Source organism: Homo sapiens, chromosome 21 (assembly GCF_000001405.40).
Source record: "Homo sapiens chromosome 21, GRCh38.p14 Primary Assembly".
NCBI classification, from domain to species: Eukaryota; Metazoa; Chordata; class Mammalia; order Primates; family Hominidae; genus Homo; species Homo sapiens.
In genome coordinates this window covers 10758676-10776904 of record NC_000021.9, presented here as the reverse complement: position 1 = coordinate 10776904, position 18229 = coordinate 10758676, and the positions used below count along the sequence as shown (strand labels likewise).

The following is an 18229-nucleotide window of genomic DNA, read 5'->3' as shown; positions in this document are numbered from 1 at the left end:
TTCTACCATAGGCCACAAAGTTCTCCAAATGTCTACTTGCAGATTCTATCTGCAAGTTTTATCTCTGTGAGATGAATGCATGCATCTCATTTTAGAAAAAGAGAGTTTCTAAACTGCTCAATCAAAAGAAAGGTTTAACTCTGTGACATGAATGCACACATCACAAAGTAGTTTCTCAGATTGCTTCTGTCTGGAATTTATGTGAAGATATTACGTTTTCTACCATAGGCCACAAAGCGCTCCAAATGTCCACTTGCAGTTTCTACAAAAAGAGTGATTCCAAACTGCGCAATCAAAAGAAAGGTTCAAATCTGTGAGATGAACGCAGATATCACAAAGAAGTTTCTCAGAATTCTTCTGTCTGGTTTTTATGTGAAGATATTACCTTTTCCACCATAGGCCTCAAAGCGCTTCAAATGTACACTTGCAGATTCTACAAAAGGGAGTTTCTAAACTGCTCAATCAAAAGGAAGTTTTAGCTGTGTGAGTTGAATGCACACATCACAAAGAAGTTTCTGAGACTGCTTCTGTCTAGGTTTCATAAGAAAAAACTTCCTTTTGTACCATAGGTCACTGAGCGCTGCAAATGTACACTTGAAGATTCTACATTAAGAGTGTTTCCAAACTGCTCCATCAAAAGAGAGGTTCAACTCTGTGAAATGAACGCACACATCACAAAGAAGTTTATCGAAATTCTTCGGTCTAGTTTTTATGTTGAAGATATTACCTTTTCCACCATAGGCCTCAAAGTGCTCCAATGTACACTTGCAGATTCTACAAAAAGAGAGTTTCAAAATTGCTCTATCAAAAGAAAGGTTTAAGTCTGTGATACCAATGCACATATTACAAAGAAGTTTCTCAGATTGCTTCTGTCTAAATTTTATGTGAAGATATTTCCTTTTCTACCATAGGCCGCAAAGCACTCTAAATGTGCACCTGCAGATTCTACAAAAAGAGTATTTCCAAACTGCTCAATCAAAAGAAAGGTTGAACTCTGTGAGGTGAACGCACACATCACAAAGAAGTTTCTCAGAATTTTTCTGTCAAGTTTTTTTTTTTTAAAGAGCAGTTTGGGTTTTATTTTCTTTATGTTCATAGATTTATTTATTTATTTTATTTATTTACTTTATTATTATACTTTAAGTTTAAGGGTACATGTGCACAATGTGCAGGTTAGCTACATATGTTTACATGTGCCATGCTGGTGCGCTGCACCCACTAACTCATCATCTATCATTAGGTGTATATCCCAGTGGTATCCTTCACCCATCCCACCACCCCACAACAGTCCCCAGAGTGTGATGTTCTGCTTCCTGTGTTTATGTGTTCTCATTGTTCAATTCCCACCTATGAGTGAGAATATGCGGTGTTTGTTTTCTTGTTCTTGTGATAGTTTACTGAGAATGATGATTTCCAATTTCATCCTTGTCCCTACAAAGGACATGAACTCATCATTTTTTATGGCTGTATAGTATTCCATGGTGTATATGTGCCACATTTTCTTAATCCAATCTATTATTGTGGGACATTTGGATTGGTTCCAAGTCTTTGCTCTTGTGAATAATGCCACCATAAACATACGTGTGCATGTGTCTTTATAGCAGAATGATTTATATTCCTTTGGGTATATACCCAGTAATGGGATGGCTGGGTCAAATGCTATTTCTAGTTCTAGATCCCTGAGGAATCGCCACACTGACTTCCACAATCGTTGAACTAGTTTACAGTCCCACCAACAGTGTAAAAGTGTTCCTGTTTCTCCACATCCTCTCCAGCACCTGTTGTTTCCTGACTTTTTGATGATTGCCATTCTAACTGGTGTGAAACGACATCTCATTGTGGTTTTGATTTGCATTTCTCTGATGGCCAGTGATGGTGAGCATTTTTTCATGTGTTTTTTGGCTGCATAAATGTCTTCTTTTGAGAAGTGTCTGTTCATGTCATTCATCCACTTTTTGATGGGGTTGTTTGTTTTTTTCTTGTAAATTTGTTTGAGTTCATTGTAGATTCCGGATATTAGCCCTTTGTCAGATGAGTAGGTTGCGAAAATTTTCTCCCATTTTGTAGGTTGCCTGTTCACTCTGATGGTAGTTTCTTTTGCTGTGCAGAAGCTCTTTAGTTTAATTAGATCCAATTTGTCAATTTTGGCTTTTGTTGTCATTGCTTTTGGTGTTTTAGACATGAAGTTCTTGCCCATGCCTATGTCCTGAATGTTAATGCCTAGGTTTTCTTCTAGGGTTTTTATGGTTTTAGGTCTAACGTTTAAGTCTTTAATCCATTTTGAATTAATTTTTGTATAAGGTGTAAGGAAGGGATCCAGTTTCAGCTTTCTACATATGGCTAGCCAGTTTTCCCAGCACCATTTATTAAATAGGGAATCCTTTCCCCATTGCTTGTTTTTCTCAGGTTTGTCAAAGATCAGATAGTTGTAGGTATGCGGCATTATTTCTGAGGGCTCTGTTCTGTTCCATTGACCTATATCTCTGTTTTGGTACCAGTACCATGCTGTTTTGGTTACTGTAGCCTTGTAGTACAGTCTGAACTCAGGTAGCATGATGCCTCCAGCTTTGTTCTTTTGTCTCAGGATTGACTTGGTGATGCGGGCTCTTTTTTGATTCCATGTGAACTTTAAAGTAGTTTTTTCCAATTCTGTGAAGAAAGTCATTGGTAGCTTGATGAAGATGGCATTGAATCTGTAAATTACCTTGGGCAGTATGGCCATTTTCACGATATTGATTCTTCCTAGCCATGAGCATGGAATGTTCTTCCATTTGTTTGTGTCCTCTTTTATTTGCTTGAGCAGTGGTTTGTAGTTCTCCTTGAAGAGGTCCTACACATCCCTTGTAAGTTGGATTCCTAGGTATTTTTTTTTTTCTCTTTGAAGCAATTGTGAATGGGAGTTCACTCATGATTTGGCTCTCTGTTTGTCTGTTGTTCGTATATAAGAATGCTTGTGATTTTTGTACATTGATTTTGTATCCTGAGACTTTGCTGAAGTTGCTTATCAGCTTAAGGAGATTTTGGGTTGAGACAATGGGGTTTTCTAGATATACAATCATGTCGTCTGCAAACAGGGACAATTTGACTTCCTCTTTTCCTAATTGAATACCATTTATTTCCTTCTCCTGCCTAATTGCCCTGGCCAGAACTTCCAACACTATGTTGAATAGGAGTGGTGAGAGAGGGCATCCCTGTCTTGTGCCAGTTTTCAAAGGGAATGCTTCCAGTTTTTGCCCATTCAGTATGATATTGGCTGTGGGTTTGTCATAGATAGCTCTTATTATTTTGAAATGTGTCCCATCAATACCTATTTTATTGAGAGTTTTTAGGATGAAGCAGTGTTGAAGTTTGTCAAAGGCTTTTTCTGCATCTATTGAGATAATCATGTGGTTTTTGTCTTTGGTTCTGTTATATGCTGGATTACATTTATTGATTTGCATAAATTGAACCAGCCTTGCATCCCAGGGATGAAGCCCACTTGATCATGGTGGATAAGCTTTTTGATGTGCTGCTAGATTCGGTTTGCCAGTATTTTATTGAGGATTTTTACATCAATGTTCATCAAGGATATTGGTCTAAAATTCTCTTTTTTGGTTGTGTTTCTGCCCGATTTTGGTATCAGGATGATGCTGGCCTCATAAAATGAGTTAAGGAGGATTCCCTCTTTTTCTATTCATTGGAATATTTTCAGAAGGAACAGTACCATTTCCTCCTTGTACCTCTGGTAGAACTCGGCTCTGAATCCATCTGGTCCTGGACTCTTTTTCATTGGTAATCTATTGATTATTGCCACAATTTCAGCTCCTGTTATTGGTCTATTAAGAGATTCAACTTCTTCCTAGTTTAGTCTTGGGAGAGTGTATGTGTCAAGGAATTTATCCATTTCTTCTAGATTTTCTAGTTTATTTGCATAGAGGTGTATGTAGTATTCTCTGATGGTAGTTCGTATTTCTGTGGGATTGGTGGTGATATCCCCTTTATCATTTTTTGTTGCATCTATTTGATTATTCTCTCTTTTTTCCTTTATTAGTCTTGCTAGCGGTCTATCAATTTTATTGATCTTTTCAAAAAACCAGTTCCTGGATTCGTTAGTTTTTTGAAGGGTTTTTTGTGTCTCTATTTCCTTCAGTTCTGCTATGATTTTAGTTATTTCTTGCCTTCTGCTAGCTTTTGAATGTGTTTGCTCTTGCTTTTCTGCTTCTTTTAATTGTGATGTTAGGGTGTCAATGTTGGATCTTTCCTGCTTTCTCTTGTGGGTATTTAGTGCTATAAATTTCCCTCTACACACTGCTTTGAATGCGTCCCAGAGATTCTGGTATGTTGTGTATTTGTTCTCATTGGTTTCAAAGAACATCTTTATTTATGCCTTCATTTCGTTATGTACCCAGTAGTCATTCAGGAGCAAGTTGTACAGTTTCCATGTAGTTGAGCGGTTTTGAGTGAGATTCTTAATCCTGAGTTCTAGTTTGATTGCCCTGTGGTCTGAGAGATAGTTTTTTATAATTTCTGTTCTTTTACATTTGCTGAGGAGAGCTTTACTTCCAAGTATGTGGTCAATTTTGGAATAGGTGTGGTGTGGTGATGAAAAAATGTATATTCTGTCAATTTGGGGTGGACAGTTCTGTAGATGTCTATTAGGTCAGCTTGGTGCAGAGCTGAGTTCAATTCCTGGGTATCCTTGTTGACTTTCTGTCTTGTTGATCTGTCTAATGTTGACAGTTTAGTGTTAAAGTCTCCCATTATTAATGTGTGGGAGTCTAAGTCTTTTTGTAGGTCAGTCAGGACTTGCTTTATGAATCTGGGTGCCCCTGTATTGGGTGCATATATATTTAGGATAGTTAGCTCTTCTTGTTGAATTGATCCCTTTACTATTAAGTAATGGCCTTCTTTGTCTCTTTTGATCTTTGTTGGTTTAAAATCTGTTTATAAGAGACTAGGATTGCAATCCCTGCCTTTTTTTGTTTTCCATTTGCATGGTAGATCTTCCTTCATCCTTTTATTTTGAGCCTATGTGTGTCTCTGCACATGAGATGGGTTTCCTGAATATAGCATACTGATGAGTCTTGACTCTTTATCCAGATTGCCAGTCTGTGTCTTTTAATTGGAGTATTTAGTCCATTTACATTTAAAGTTAATATTGTTATGTGTAAATTTGATCCTGTCCTTATGATGTTAGCTGGTTATTTTGTTCGTTAGTTGATGCAGGTTCTTCCTAGTCATGATGGCCTTTACATTTTGGCATGATTTTGCCACGGCTGGTACCGGTTGTTCTTCTCCATATTTAGTGCTTCCTTAAGGAGGTCCTTTTGGGCAGGCCTGGTGGTGACAAAATCTCTCAACATTTGCTTGTCTGTAAAGTATTTTATTTCTCCTTCACTTATGAAGCTTAGTTTGGCTGGATATGAAATTCTGGGTTGAAAATTATTTTCTTTAAGAATGTTGAATATTGCCCCCCACTCTCTTCTGGCTTGTAGAGTTTCTGCCAAGAGATCTGTTGTTAGTCTGATGGGCTTCCCTTTGAGGGTAACCCAACCTTTCTCTTTGGCTGCCCTTAACATTTTTTCCTTCATTTCAACTTTGGTGAATCTGACAATTATGTGTCTTGGAGTTGCTGTTCTCGAGGAGTATCTTTATGGTGTTCTCTATATTTCCTGAATCTGAATGTTGGCCTGCCTTGCTAGATTGGGGAAGTTCTCTTGGATAATATCGTGCAGAGTGTTTTCCAACTTGGTTTCATTCTCCCCATCACTTTCAGGTACACCAATCAGACGTAGATTTGGTGTTTTCACATAGTCCCATATTTCTTGGAGGCTTTACTTATTTCTTTTTATTCTTTTTTCTCTAAATTTCCTTTCTTGCTTCATTTCATCCACTTCATCTTCCATTGCTGATACTGTTTCTTCCAGTTGATCATATCAGCTCCTGAGGCTTCTGCATTCTTCACGTACTTCTTGAACTTTGGCTTTCAGCTCCATCAGCTCCTTTAAGCACTTCTCTGTGTTGATTATTCTAGTTATACATCCTTCTAAATTTTTTTCAATGTTTTCAACTTCTTTGCCTTTGGTTTGAATGTCCTTCTGTAACTCGGAGTAATTTGATCGTCTGGAGCCTTCTTCTCTCAGCTAGTCAAAGTCATTCTCCATCCAGCTTTGTTCCGTTGCTGGTGAGGAACTACATTCCTTTGGAGGAGGAGAGGCGCTCTGCTTTTTAGATTTTCCAGTTTTTCTGTTTTGTTTTTTCCCCACCTTTGGGTTTTTATCTACTTTTGGTCTTTGATAATGGTGATGTACAGATGGGATTTTGCTGTGGATGTCCTTTCTGTTTGTTAGTTTTCCTTCTAACAAACAGGACCCTCAGCTGCACGTCTGTAGGAGTACCTGGCCGTGTGAAGTGTCAGTCTGCCCCTGCTGGTTGGGTGCCTCCTAGTTAGGCTGCTCAGGGGTCAGGGGTCAGGGCCCCACTTGAGGAGGCAGTCTGCCCATGCTTAGATCTCCAGCTGCGTGCTGGGAGAACCACTGCTCTCTTGAAAGCTGTCAGACAGGGACATTTAAGTCTGCAGAGGTCACTGCTGTCTTTTTGTTTATCTGTGTCCTGCCCCCAGAGGTGGAGCCTACAGAGGCAGGCAGGCCTCCTTGAGCTGTGGTGGGCTCCACCCAGTTCGAGCTTCCCAGCTGCTTTGTTTACCTAAGCAAGCCTGGGCAATGGCAGGCGCCCCTCCCCTAGCCTCGCTGCCTCCTTGCAGTTTGATCTCAGACAGCTGTGCTAGCAATCAGTGAGACTCCATGGGCGTAGGACCCTCTGAGCCAGGTGCGGGATATAATCTCTTCGTGTGGCGTTTTTTAAGCCCGTGGGAAAAGCGCAGTATTCGGGTGGGAGTGACCTGAATTCTAGGTGCTGTCTGTCACCCCTTTCTTTGACTAGGAAAGGGAACTCCCTGACTCCTAGTCCTTCCTGAGTGAGGCAATGCCTCGCCCTGCTTTGGCTCGTGCACGGTGCACGCACACACTGACCTGCTCCCACTGTCTGGCACTCACTGGTGAGATGAACCCGGTACCTCAGATGGAAATGCAGAAATCACCCATCTTCTGCGTCACTCACACAGGAAGCTGTAGTCCGGAGCTGTTCCTATTTGGCTATCTTGTTTCCCCTCCCAGAACACTCTCTTTGTAGAATCTGCAATTGGACATTTGGAGCACTTTCAGGACTATGGTGGATAACAAAATATCTTCACATAATAACTAGACAGAAGCATTCTAAGACACTTCTTTGTTATGTGTGCATTCATCCCACAGAGTTGAATCTTTCTTTTGATTTAGCAGTTTCGAAGCACTCTTTTTGTAAAATCTGCAAGTGGACATTTTGTGCACTTTTAGGCCTATGGTAAAAAGAAAATATCTTCACATAAAAACTAGACAGAAGGATTCTGACAACCTTCTTTGAGATATGTGCATTCATCTCACAGAGTTGAAACTTACTTTTGATTTAGCCGTTTTGAAGCCCCCTTTTGGTAAAATCTGTGATTGGACATTTGAAGTGCTTTGAAGCCTTTGGTGGAAAAGGAAATATCGTCACATAAGAACTAGACAGAAGCATTCTGACAAACTTCTTTGTGATGTGTGCATTCATCTCACAGAGTTGAACATTTATTTTGATTGAGCAGCTTGAAAACCTCTTTTACTGGAGTCTGCAAGTGGACATTTCTAGCGCTTTGAGGCCTATGGTAGAAAAGGAAATATCTTCACATAAAATCTAGACAGACACATTCTGACAAACATCTTTGTGATGTGTGCATTCACCTCACAGAGTTGAACGTTACTTTTGATTGAGCAGTTTTGAAAAACTCTCTTTGTAGAATCCGCAAGTGGACATTTGGAGCTCTTTGAGGCCTATGGTGGATAACGAAATATCTTCGTATAATAAAGAGAAAGAAGCATTCTGAGAAACTTCTTTGTGATGTGTGCACTCATCTCACAGAGTGGAACCTTACTTTTGATTTAGCAGTGTGGAAACTCTCTTTTTCTAGAATCTGCAAGTGGACATTTGGAGCACTTTGAGGCCTATGGTAGAAAAGGAAATATCTTCACATAAAATATAGACAGAAGCAATCTTGGAAATTTCTTTGTGATGTGTGCATTCATCCCACAGAGTTAAACCTTTCTTTAGATTGAGCAGTTTTGAAACTCTCTTGTATTATCTACAAGTGGACTTTTTGAGTGCTTTGTGACCTATGGTGAAAAGGAATTAACTTTTCATATATTCTACAAGAAGCAATCTGAGAAACTTCTTTGTGATGTGTGCATTCATCTCACAGAGTTAAACCTTTCTTTAGTTTGAGCAGTTTTGGAACAGTCTTTTTGTAGAATCTGCAAGTGGACACTTGTAGTGTTTTGAGGCCTATGGTAGAAAAGGAAGTATCTTCACATAAAAACTAGACAGAAGAATTCTGAGAAACTTCTTTGTGATGTGTGCATTCATCTCACAGAGTTGAACCTTTCTTTTGATTGAGCAGTTTGGAAACACTCTTTTTGCAGAATCTGAAAGTGGACATTTGGAGAGCTTTGCAGCCTTTGGTGGAAAAGGAATTATCTTCACATAAAATCTAGACAGAAGAAATCTGAGAAACTTCTTTGTGACGTGTGCATTCATCTCACAGAGTTAAGCATTTCTTTTGATTGAGCAGTTTTGAAACTCTCTTTTTGTAGAATCTGCAAGTGGACATTTGGAGCACTTGGGGTCTATGGCGGAGGAGGAAGTATCTTTACATAAAAACTAGACAGAAGAATTTTGTAAAATTTCTTTGTGAGGTGTGCATTCATCTCACAGAGCTGAAGCTTTCCTTTGATTATGCAGTTTGAAAGCACTCTTTTTGTAGAATCTGCAAGTGGACCTTGGAGTGATTTGAAGCCTGTGGTAGAACTGGAAATATCTGGACATAACATCGGGACAGAAGCCATCTGAGAAACTTCTTTGTGATGTGTGCTTTCATCTCACTGTGTTAAACCTTTCTTTTGGTTGAGCAGTTTTGAAAATCTCTTTTTGTAGAATCTGCAAGTCGGCATTTGGAGCTCTTTGAGGCCTATGGTGGAAAAGGAAATATCTTCACATAAAAACTAAGTAGAAGCATTCCAAGAAACTTCTTTGTGAAGAGTGCGTTCATCTCCCAGATTGAACCTTTCTTTCGATGGAGCAGTTTTGAAGTACTCTTTTGGTAGAATCTGCAACTGGACATTTCGAGTGCCTTGAGGACAATGGTGGAAAATGGAATATCTTCACATAAAAACATCGTCACATGAAAAACTCAGAAGAATTCTGAGACACTTCTTTGTGATGTGTGCGTTCATCTCACAGAGTTGAAACTTTCTTTTGATTGAGCAGTTTGCAAATACTCTTTTTGTAGTATCCGCAAATGGACATTTTGAGTGCTTTGCAGCCTATAGTAGAAAAGAAAATGTCATCACATAAAATCTAGACAGAAGCAATCTGAGAAACTTCTTTGTGATGCGTGCATTCATCTCACAGAGTTAATCATTTCTTATGATAGAGCAGTTTTGAAACTCTCTTTTTGTAGAATCTGCAAGTGAACATTTGGAGCGCTTTGAGGCCTATGGTGGAATAGGTAATATCTTCAGATAAAAACTAGACAGAAGTACTCTGTCAAACTTCTTGGTGATTTGTGTGTTCATCTCACAGATTTGAAGCCTTCTTTGAGCAGTTTTGAAGCCCTCTTTTTGTAGAATCTCTAAGTGGACATTTGGAGCTCTTTGCAGCCTTAGGTAGAAAAGGAAATATCTTCACATAAAATCCAGACAGAAACAATCTGAAAATCTTCTCTCTGATGTGTGCATTCATCTCACAGAGTTAACCCTTTCTTTTGATTGAGCAGTTTTGAAACTCTCTTTTTGTAGAATCTGCAAGTGGATATTTGGGGCGCTTTGAGGCCTATTGCAGAAAAGGAAATATCTTCACATAAATACTAGATAGAAGCATTCTGAGAAACTACTTTATGATGTGTCTATTCATCTCCCAGAGTTGAACATTTCTTTTGATGGACCAGTTTTGAAATACTCTTTTTGTAGAATCGGCAAGTGGACTTTTGGAGCACCTTGAGGCTTAAGGAGGAAAATGAAATATCTTCACATAAAAACTAGACAGAAGAATTCTGAGAAACTTCTTTGTTATGTGTGAGTTCATCTCACAGAGTTGAAACTTTCTTTTGATTCAGCAGTTTGGAACCACTCTTTTTGGAGAATCTGCACGTGGACATTTGGAGCTCTTTGCGGCCTATGGTAGAAAAGGAAATATTTTCACATAAAATCAAGCCTGAAGCAATCTGAGAAACTTCTTTGTGATGTTTGCATTCATCTCTCAGAGTTAAACCTTTTTTTTTGATAGACCAGTTTTGAAATACTCTTCTTATAGGATCTGCAAATGGACAATTCGAGTGCCTGGAGGCCTTTGGTGAAAAATGAATTATCTTTACATAAAAACTAGAGAGAAGAATTCTGAGAAACTTCTTTGTGATATAAGCGTTCCTCTCACAGAGTTAAACCTTTCTGTTGATTGAGCTGTTTAGAAACACTCTTGTTGTAGAATCTACAAGAGGACATTTGAGTGCTTTGCGGCCTATGGTAGAAAAGGAAATATCTTCACATAAAATCTAGACAGAAGCAACCTGAGAAACTTCTTTGTGATGTGGGAATTCATCTCACAGAGTTAAAACTTTCTTTTGATTGAGCAGTTTTGAAACTCTCTTTTTGTAGAATCTTCAAGTGAACATTTGGAACGCTTTGAGGCCTACGGTGGAAAAGGAAATATCTTCACATACAATCTTGACAGAAGCAATCTGAGAAACTACTTTGTGATGTGTGCATTCACCTCACAGAATTAACCCTATCTTTTGACTGAGTAGTTTTGAAACTCTCCTTTTGTAGAATCTGCAAGGGGACCTTAGGAGTGCTTTGAGGCCTATGGTGGAAAAGGAAATATATTAACATAAAAACTAGATTGAAGCATTCCAATAAAGTTCTTTGTGATGTGTGCATTCATCTCCCAGTGTTGAACCTTTCTTTTGATGGAAAAGTTTTGAAATACTCTTTTTGTAGAATCTGCAAGTAGACATTTGGAGTGCTTTGAAGCCTATGGTGGAAAGGGAAGTATCTTCACATAAAAACTAGACAAAAAAATTCTGGGAAACTACCTTGTGATGTGTGTGTTCATCTCACAGTTTTGAAACTTTCTTTTGATTGAGCAGTTTGGAAACACTCTTTTTGTGGAATCTGCAAGTGGACATTTGGAGCTCTTTGCAGAGTATAGCAGCAAAGGAAATAACTTCACATAAAATCTATGCAGAAGCAATATGAGAAATTCCTTTGTGATGTGTGCCTTCATCTTACAGAATTAACCATTATTTTGATTGAGCAGTTTTGAAACTCTCTTTTTGTAGAATCTGCAAGTGGACATTTGGAGCGTTTTGAGTCCTATGGTGGAAAAGGTAGTATCTTCACATAAAAACTAGATAGAAGAATTCTGAGAAATTTCTTTGTGACGTGTGTGTTCACCTCATACAGTTGAAACTTTCTTTTGATTGAGCAGTTTGGAAACACTCTTTTTAAAGAATCTGCAAGTGGACATTAGGAGCGCTTTATGGTCTATGGTAGAAAAGGAAATGTATTCACATAAAATCTAGACAGAAGCAATACGAGAAACTACTTTGTGATGTGTACATTCATGTCACAGAGTTAAACCTTTGTTTTGATAGAGTAGTTTTGAAACTCTCTTTTTGTAGATTCTGCTAGTGGACATTTGGAGCATTTTGAGGTCTATGGTGGAAAAGGAAATATCTTCACATGAAATCTAGACAGAAGCAATCTGAGAAACTTCTTTGTGATGTGTGCATTCATCTCACCGAGTTAATCCTTTCATTCGATTGAGCAGTTCTGAAACACTTTTTTTATAAAATCTGCAAGTGGATATTTGTAGTGCTTTCAGGCCTATGGTGGAAAAGCAAATATCTTCACATAAAAACTAGATAGAAGCATTCAGGGATACTTCTTTGTGATGTGTACATTCATCTCCAAGAGTTGAAACTTTCTTTTGAAGGACCAGTTTTGGAATACTGTTTTTGTAGAATCTGCAAGTGGACATTTCGAGTACCTTGAGGCCTAAGGTGGAAAAGGAAATATCTTCACATAAAAACTAGACAGAAGAATTCAGAGAAACTTCCTAGTGATGTGTGCATTCATTTCCCAGAGTTGAAACTTTGTTTTGATTGAACAGTTTGGAAATAGTCTTTTTCTACTATCTGCAAGTGTACATTTGGAGCACTTTGTGGCCTGAGGTAGAAATGGAAATATCTTCACATAAAATCTAGACAGAAGCAACCTGAAAAACTTCTTTGTGATTTTTGCATTCATCTCCAAAGTTAACCATTTCTTTAGATTGAGCACTTTTGAAACTCTCTTTTTGTGGAATATACAAGTGGACATTTGGAGCGCTTTGAGGACTATGGTGGAAAAGGCAATATATTCACATAAAAACTAGAAAGAAGCATTCTTAGAAACTACATTGTGACGTGTAAATTCGTCTCCCACAGTTGAAACTTTCTTTTGATGGACCATTTTTGAAATACTCTCTTTGTAGAATCTGCAAGTGGACATTTGGAGTGCCTTGAGGCCTATTGGGGAAAATGAAATATCTTCACATAAACACTAGACAGGAGAATTCTGAGAAACTTCTTTGTGGTGTGTGATTTCATCTCGCACAGTTGAACCTTTCTTTTGATTGAGCAGTTTGGAAGCACTCTTTTTGTAGAATCTGCAAGTGGACATTTGTAAACTTTGTGGCCTATGATAGAGAAGGAAATAACTTCACATAAAATCTAGACAGAGCAGTCTGAGAAAATTATTTGTGATGTGTGCATTCATCTCACAGAGTGAAACCCTTCTTTTGATTGAGCAGCTTTAAAACTCTCTTTTTGTAGGATCTGCAAGTGGACTTTTGGAGAGCATTGAGGCCTATGATGGAAAAGGAAATATCTTCACATAAAAAATACACAGAAGTATTCTGAGAAACTTCTTTGTGATGTGTGCTTTCACCTCACAGAGTTGAACATTTCTTTTGATTGAGCAGTTAAGAAACTCTCTTTTAGTTGAATCTGCAATTTGACTTTGGGAGTGCTGTGAGGCCTTAGGTGGAAAAGGAAATATCTTCACATAAAAACTAGACAGAAGAATTCTGAGAAACTTCTTTGTGATGTGTGCATTCATTTCACAGAGTTAAACCTTCTTTTGATTGAGCAGTTTTGAAACACTCTTATTGTAGAATCTGTGTGTGGCTATTTGGAGCGCTTTGCATCCTACGGTAGGAAAGGAAATATCTTCACATAAAATCTAGACAGAAGCAATCTGAGAAAATTCTTTGTGATGGGTGCATTCATCTCACAGAGTAAAAGCTTTCTTTTGATTGAGCAGTTTTAAAACTCTCTTTTTGTAGAATCTGCAAGTGGACATTTGGAGCGCTTTGAGGCCTATGGTGGAAAATGAAATATCTTCACACAAAAACTAGACAGAAAAATTCTGAGAAACTTCTTTGTGATGTGTGCATTTATCTCACAGAGTTAACCGTTTCTTTTGATTGAGAACTTTGGAAACTCTCTTTTTGCAGAACCTGCAAGTGGACATTTGGAGCGCTTTGAGGCTTATGGTGGAAAAGGAAATAGCTTCATGTAAAAACTAGATAGAAGCATTCTGAGAAACTTCTTTGTGATGTGTGCATTCACCTCCCAGAGTTGAGCCTTTCTCTTGATGGACCAGTTTTGAAATACTCTTTTTGTAGAATCTACAAGGGGACATTTCGATAGCCTTGGGGCCTCTGGTCCAAAAGGAAATATCTTCACATTAGAACTAGACAGAAGAATTCTGAGAAACTTCTTTGTGATGTGTGAGTTCATCTCACAGAGTTAACCTTTCTTTTGATTGAGCAGTTTGGAAACACTGTTTTTGTAGAATCTACAGGTGGACATTTGGAGCAGTTTGCAAAGTATGGTAGAAAAGGAAATATCATTACATAAAATCTAGGCAGAAGAAATCTTAGAAACTGCTTTGTGAAGTGTGTGTTCATCTCACAGATATAAACCTTTCTTTTGATTGAGCAGCTTTGAAACTCTCTTTTTGTAGAATTTGCAAGTGGAAATTTTGATCATTTTGAGACCTATCACGGAAAAAGAAATGTCTTCACATAAAAACTAGACAGAAGTATTTTGAGAAACTTCTTGGTGATGCGAGCATTCATCTCACAAATTTGAACCTTTCTTTTGATTGAGCAGTTTTGAAACATTCTTTTTGTAGAATCTGCAAGGGGACATTATAAGTGCTTTGGGTTCTATGGTAGAAAAGGAAATAACTTCACATAAAATCTAGACAGAAGCAATCTGAGAAACTTTTTGTGATATGTGCATTCATCTCACAGAGTTAAACCTTCCTTTTGATTGAGCAGTTTTGGAAGTCTCTTTTTGTAGAATCTGCAAGTGGACATTTGGAGAGCTTTTAGGCCTATGGAAGAAAAGGAAATATCTTCACATAAAAAGTAGACAGAAGAATTCTGAGAAAATTCTTTGTGATGCCAGCGTTCATCTGACAGAGTTGAACCTTTCTTTTGATTGAGCAGATGGGAAACACTCTTTTTGTAGAATCTGCAAGTGAACATGTGGAGCGCTTTGCGGCCTATGGTAGAAAAGGAATTATCTTCACATAAAATCTAGACAGAAGCAATCTGAGGAAGCTTTTCTTATTGTGTGCATTCATCTCACAGTGTTAAACATTTCTTTTGATTGAGCAGTTTTAAAACTCTCTTTTTATAAAATCTGCATGTGGACATTTGAAGCGCCTCGAGGCCCATGCTGCAAAGGAAAATATATTCACATAAAAACTAGATAGAAGCATTCTGAGCAACCTCTTGGTGATGTGTGCATTCATTTCCCAGAGTTGAACCTTTCTATTGATGGACCAGTTTTGTAATAATCTTTTTGTAGAACTTGCAATTGGTCATTTGGAGTGCCTTGAGGCCTATTGTGGAAAATGAAATATCTTCACAACAAAACTGCAAAGAAGTATTCTGAGCAACTTCTATGCGATGTGTGTGTTCATCCCACAGAGCTGAACCATTTTTTAGATTGAGAAGTTTGGAAACTGTCTTTTTGTAGAATCTGCAAGTGGACATTTGGAGCGCTTTGTCACCTACGGTAGAAAAAGGACTATCTTCACATAAAATCTAGACATAAGCAATCAGAGAAACTTCTTTGTGATTTGTGCATTCACCTCAGAGAGTTAAACCTTTCTTTTGATTGAGGAGTTTGGAAACTCTCTTTTTGTGGATCTACAAGTGGACATTTGGAGTGCTTTGGGGCCTATGGTAGAAAAGGAAATATCTTCACATAAAATCCAGACAGAAGCAACCTGAGAAGCTTGCTTGGATGTGTGCATTCATCTAAGAGAGTTAAACCTTTCTTTTGATTGAGGAGTTTTGAAACTCTCTCTTTGTAAAATCTGCAAGTGGCCATTTGGAGCACTTTGAGCCCTATGGTGAAAAACGAAATATCTTCACATAAAAACTAGACAGAAGAATTCTGAGAAACTTCTTTGTGATGTGTGCGATCATCTCACAGAATTGAAACTTTCTTTTGATTGAGCAGCTTGGAAACACTCTTTTTGTAGAATCTGCAAGTGGACTTTTGGAACGCTTTGTGGCCTATGTTAGAAAAGGAAATATCTTCACATAAAATCTAGACAGAAGCAATCTGAGAAACTCCTTTGTGATGTGTGCATTCATCTAACGGAGTTAAACCTTTCTTTTGGTTGAGCAGTTTTGAAAATCTCTTTTCATAGAATTTGCAAGTGGACATTTGGAGCACTTTGAGACCTGTGGTGGAAAAGGAAATATCTTCACATAAAAACTAGACAGAAGAATTCTGGGAAACTTCTTTGTGATGTGTGTGTTAATCTCACAGAGTTGAACCTTTCTTTTGATTGAGCAGTTTGGAAAAACTCTTTTTCTAGAATCTGCAAATGAACATTTGGTGCGCTTTGCAGCGAATGGTAAAAACGGAATATCTACACATCAAATTTAGAAAGAAGCAATCTGAGAAACTTCTTCGTGATGTGTGCATTCATCTCACAGAGTTAACCCTTTCTTTTGATTGAGAAGTTTTGAAACTCTCTTTTTGTAGAATCTGCAGGTGGACATTTGGAGCACTTTTAGGCCTATGGTAGAAGAGGAAATGTCTTCACATGAAAACTTGATAGAAGCATTCTGGCAAACTTCTTTGTGATATGTGCATTCATCTCCCAGAGCTGAAACATTCTTTCAAAGGACCAGTTTTGAAATACTCTTTTTATAGAATGTGCAAGTGGACATTTTGAGCGCCTTAAGGCCTATGTTTGAAAAGGAAATATCTTCACATAAAAACTACACAGAAGAATTCTGAGAAACTGCTTTGTGATGTGTGCATTCATCTCACAGAATTGAACCTTTCTTTTGATTCAGCAGTTTGGAAACACTCTTTATGTAGAATCGGCAAGTAGACATTTGGAGTGCTTTGTGGCCTATGATAGAAAAGGAAATATTTTCACATAAAATCTAGACCGAAACAATCTGAGAAACTTCTTTGTAATGTGTGCATTCATCTCACAGAGTTAAGCCTCTCTTTTGATTGAGCACTTTAGAAACTCTCTTTTTGCAGAATCTGCAGGTGGACATTTGGAGCACTCTGAATCCTATGTTGGAAAAGGAAATGCCATCACATAAAAACTAAACAGAAGAATCCTAAGAAACTTCTTTGTGATGTGTGAGTTCATTTCACAGAGTTGAGTCTTTCTTTGGATTGAGCAGTTTGGAAATACTCTTTTTGTAGAATCTACAGGTGGACAATTAGAGCACTTTGTGTCCCATAGTAGAAAAGTAAATAACTTCACATAAAATCTAGACAAAAGCAATGTGAGAAACTTACTTGTGATGTGTGCATTCATCTCAGAGTTAAACCTTTCTTTTGATTGATCAGTTTTGAAACTCTCTTTTTGTAGAATCTTCAAGTAAACAATTGGAGCGCTTTGAGGCCCATGGTGCAAAAGGAAATATCATCACATAAAAACTAGACAGAAGAATTCTGAGAAACTTCTTTGTGATGTGTGCGTTCTTCTCACAGAGTTGAACCTTTCTTTTGATTGAGCAGTTTGGAAACACTCTTTTTGTAGAATCTGCAAGTGCACATTTGGAGAGCTATGCGGTCTATGGTAGAAAAGGAAATATCTTCGCATAAAATCTAGACAGAAGTAGTCTGAGAATATTCTTTTTGATGTGTGCATTCTTCTCACGGAGTGAAACTTTTCCTTTGATTGAGCAGTTTCGAAACTCTCTTTTTGTAAAATCTGCAAGTGAACATTTGGAGTGCTTTGTGGCCTATGATAGAAAAGGAAATATTTTCACTTAAAATCTAGACAGAAGCAATCTGAGAAACTTCTTTGTGATGTTTGTATTCATCTTACATAGTTAAACCTTTCTTTTGATTGAGCAGTTTTGAAACTCTCTTTTTGTCAAATCTGTAAGAGGACATTTGGAGTGCTTTCAGGCCTATGGTGAAAAAGGAAGTATCTTCTCATGAAAACTAGACAGAAGAATTCAGACAAACTTCTTTGTGATGTGTGCATTTATCTCACAGACTTGAACCTTTCTTTTGATTGAGCAGTTTGAAACACTCTTTTTGTAGAATCTGCAAGTGGACATTTGGAGCACGTGGAGGCCTATAGTGGAAATGGAAATGTCTTCACACTAAAAACTAGACAGAAGAATTCTGAGAAACTTCTTTGTGATCTTTGCATTCATCTCACAGAGTTGAACCTTTCTTTTCATTTAGCAGTTTGAAAACACTCTTTTTGTAGAATCGGCAAGTGGACATTTGGAACGCATTGCAGTCTATGATGGAAAAGGAAATATCTCCACATAAAATCTAGACAGAAGCAATCTGAGAAACTTCTTTGTGATGGGTGCATTCATCTCACAGAGTTAAAACTTTCTTTTGATTGAGCAGTTTTGAAATTCTCTTTTTATAGAATCTGTAAGTGGACATTTGGAGCGTTTTGCAGCTTATGGTAGGAAAGGAAATATCTTCATATAATATCTAGACAGAAGCAATCTGAGAAACTTCTTTTGATTTGTGCATTCATCTCACAGATGTAAA

The 18229-nt window shown here is 37.9% G+C and overlaps 5 annotated features.

Annotated features, from left to right (window-relative positions):
• Nucleotides 7424-8243: an enhancer, noted in NCBI's record as "OCT4-NANOG hESC enhancer chr21:10742976-10743795 (GRCh37/hg19 assembly coordinates)". NCBI's record gives its function as "activates a minimal SCP1, AML or CMV promoter by ChIP-STARR-seq in primed H9 embryonic stem cells {active_cell/tissue: H9 hESC(primed)}" and the evidence as "EXISTENCE:reporter gene assay evidence [ECO:0000049][PMID:30033119]".
• Nucleotides 8244-9062: an enhancer, noted in NCBI's record as "OCT4-NANOG hESC enhancer chr21:10743796-10744614 (GRCh37/hg19 assembly coordinates)". NCBI's record gives its function as "activates a minimal SCP1, AML or CMV promoter by ChIP-STARR-seq in naive and primed H9 embryonic stem cells {active_cell/tissue: H9 hESC(naive and primed)}" and the evidence as "EXISTENCE:reporter gene assay evidence [ECO:0000049][PMID:30033119]".
• Nucleotides 13252-13965: an enhancer, noted in NCBI's record as "OCT4-NANOG hESC enhancer chr21:10748804-10749517 (GRCh37/hg19 assembly coordinates)". NCBI's record gives its function as "activates a minimal SCP1, AML or CMV promoter by ChIP-STARR-seq in naive H9 embryonic stem cells {active_cell/tissue: H9 hESC(naive)}" and the evidence as "EXISTENCE:reporter gene assay evidence [ECO:0000049][PMID:30033119]".
• Nucleotides 13966-14678: an enhancer, noted in NCBI's record as "OCT4-NANOG hESC enhancer chr21:10749518-10750230 (GRCh37/hg19 assembly coordinates)". NCBI's record gives its function as "activates a minimal SCP1, AML or CMV promoter by ChIP-STARR-seq in naive H9 embryonic stem cells {active_cell/tissue: H9 hESC(naive)}" and the evidence as "EXISTENCE:reporter gene assay evidence [ECO:0000049][PMID:30033119]".
• Nucleotides 14679-15392: an enhancer, noted in NCBI's record as "OCT4-NANOG hESC enhancer chr21:10750231-10750944 (GRCh37/hg19 assembly coordinates)". NCBI's record gives its function as "activates a minimal SCP1, AML or CMV promoter by ChIP-STARR-seq in naive H9 embryonic stem cells {active_cell/tissue: H9 hESC(naive)}" and the evidence as "EXISTENCE:reporter gene assay evidence [ECO:0000049][PMID:30033119]".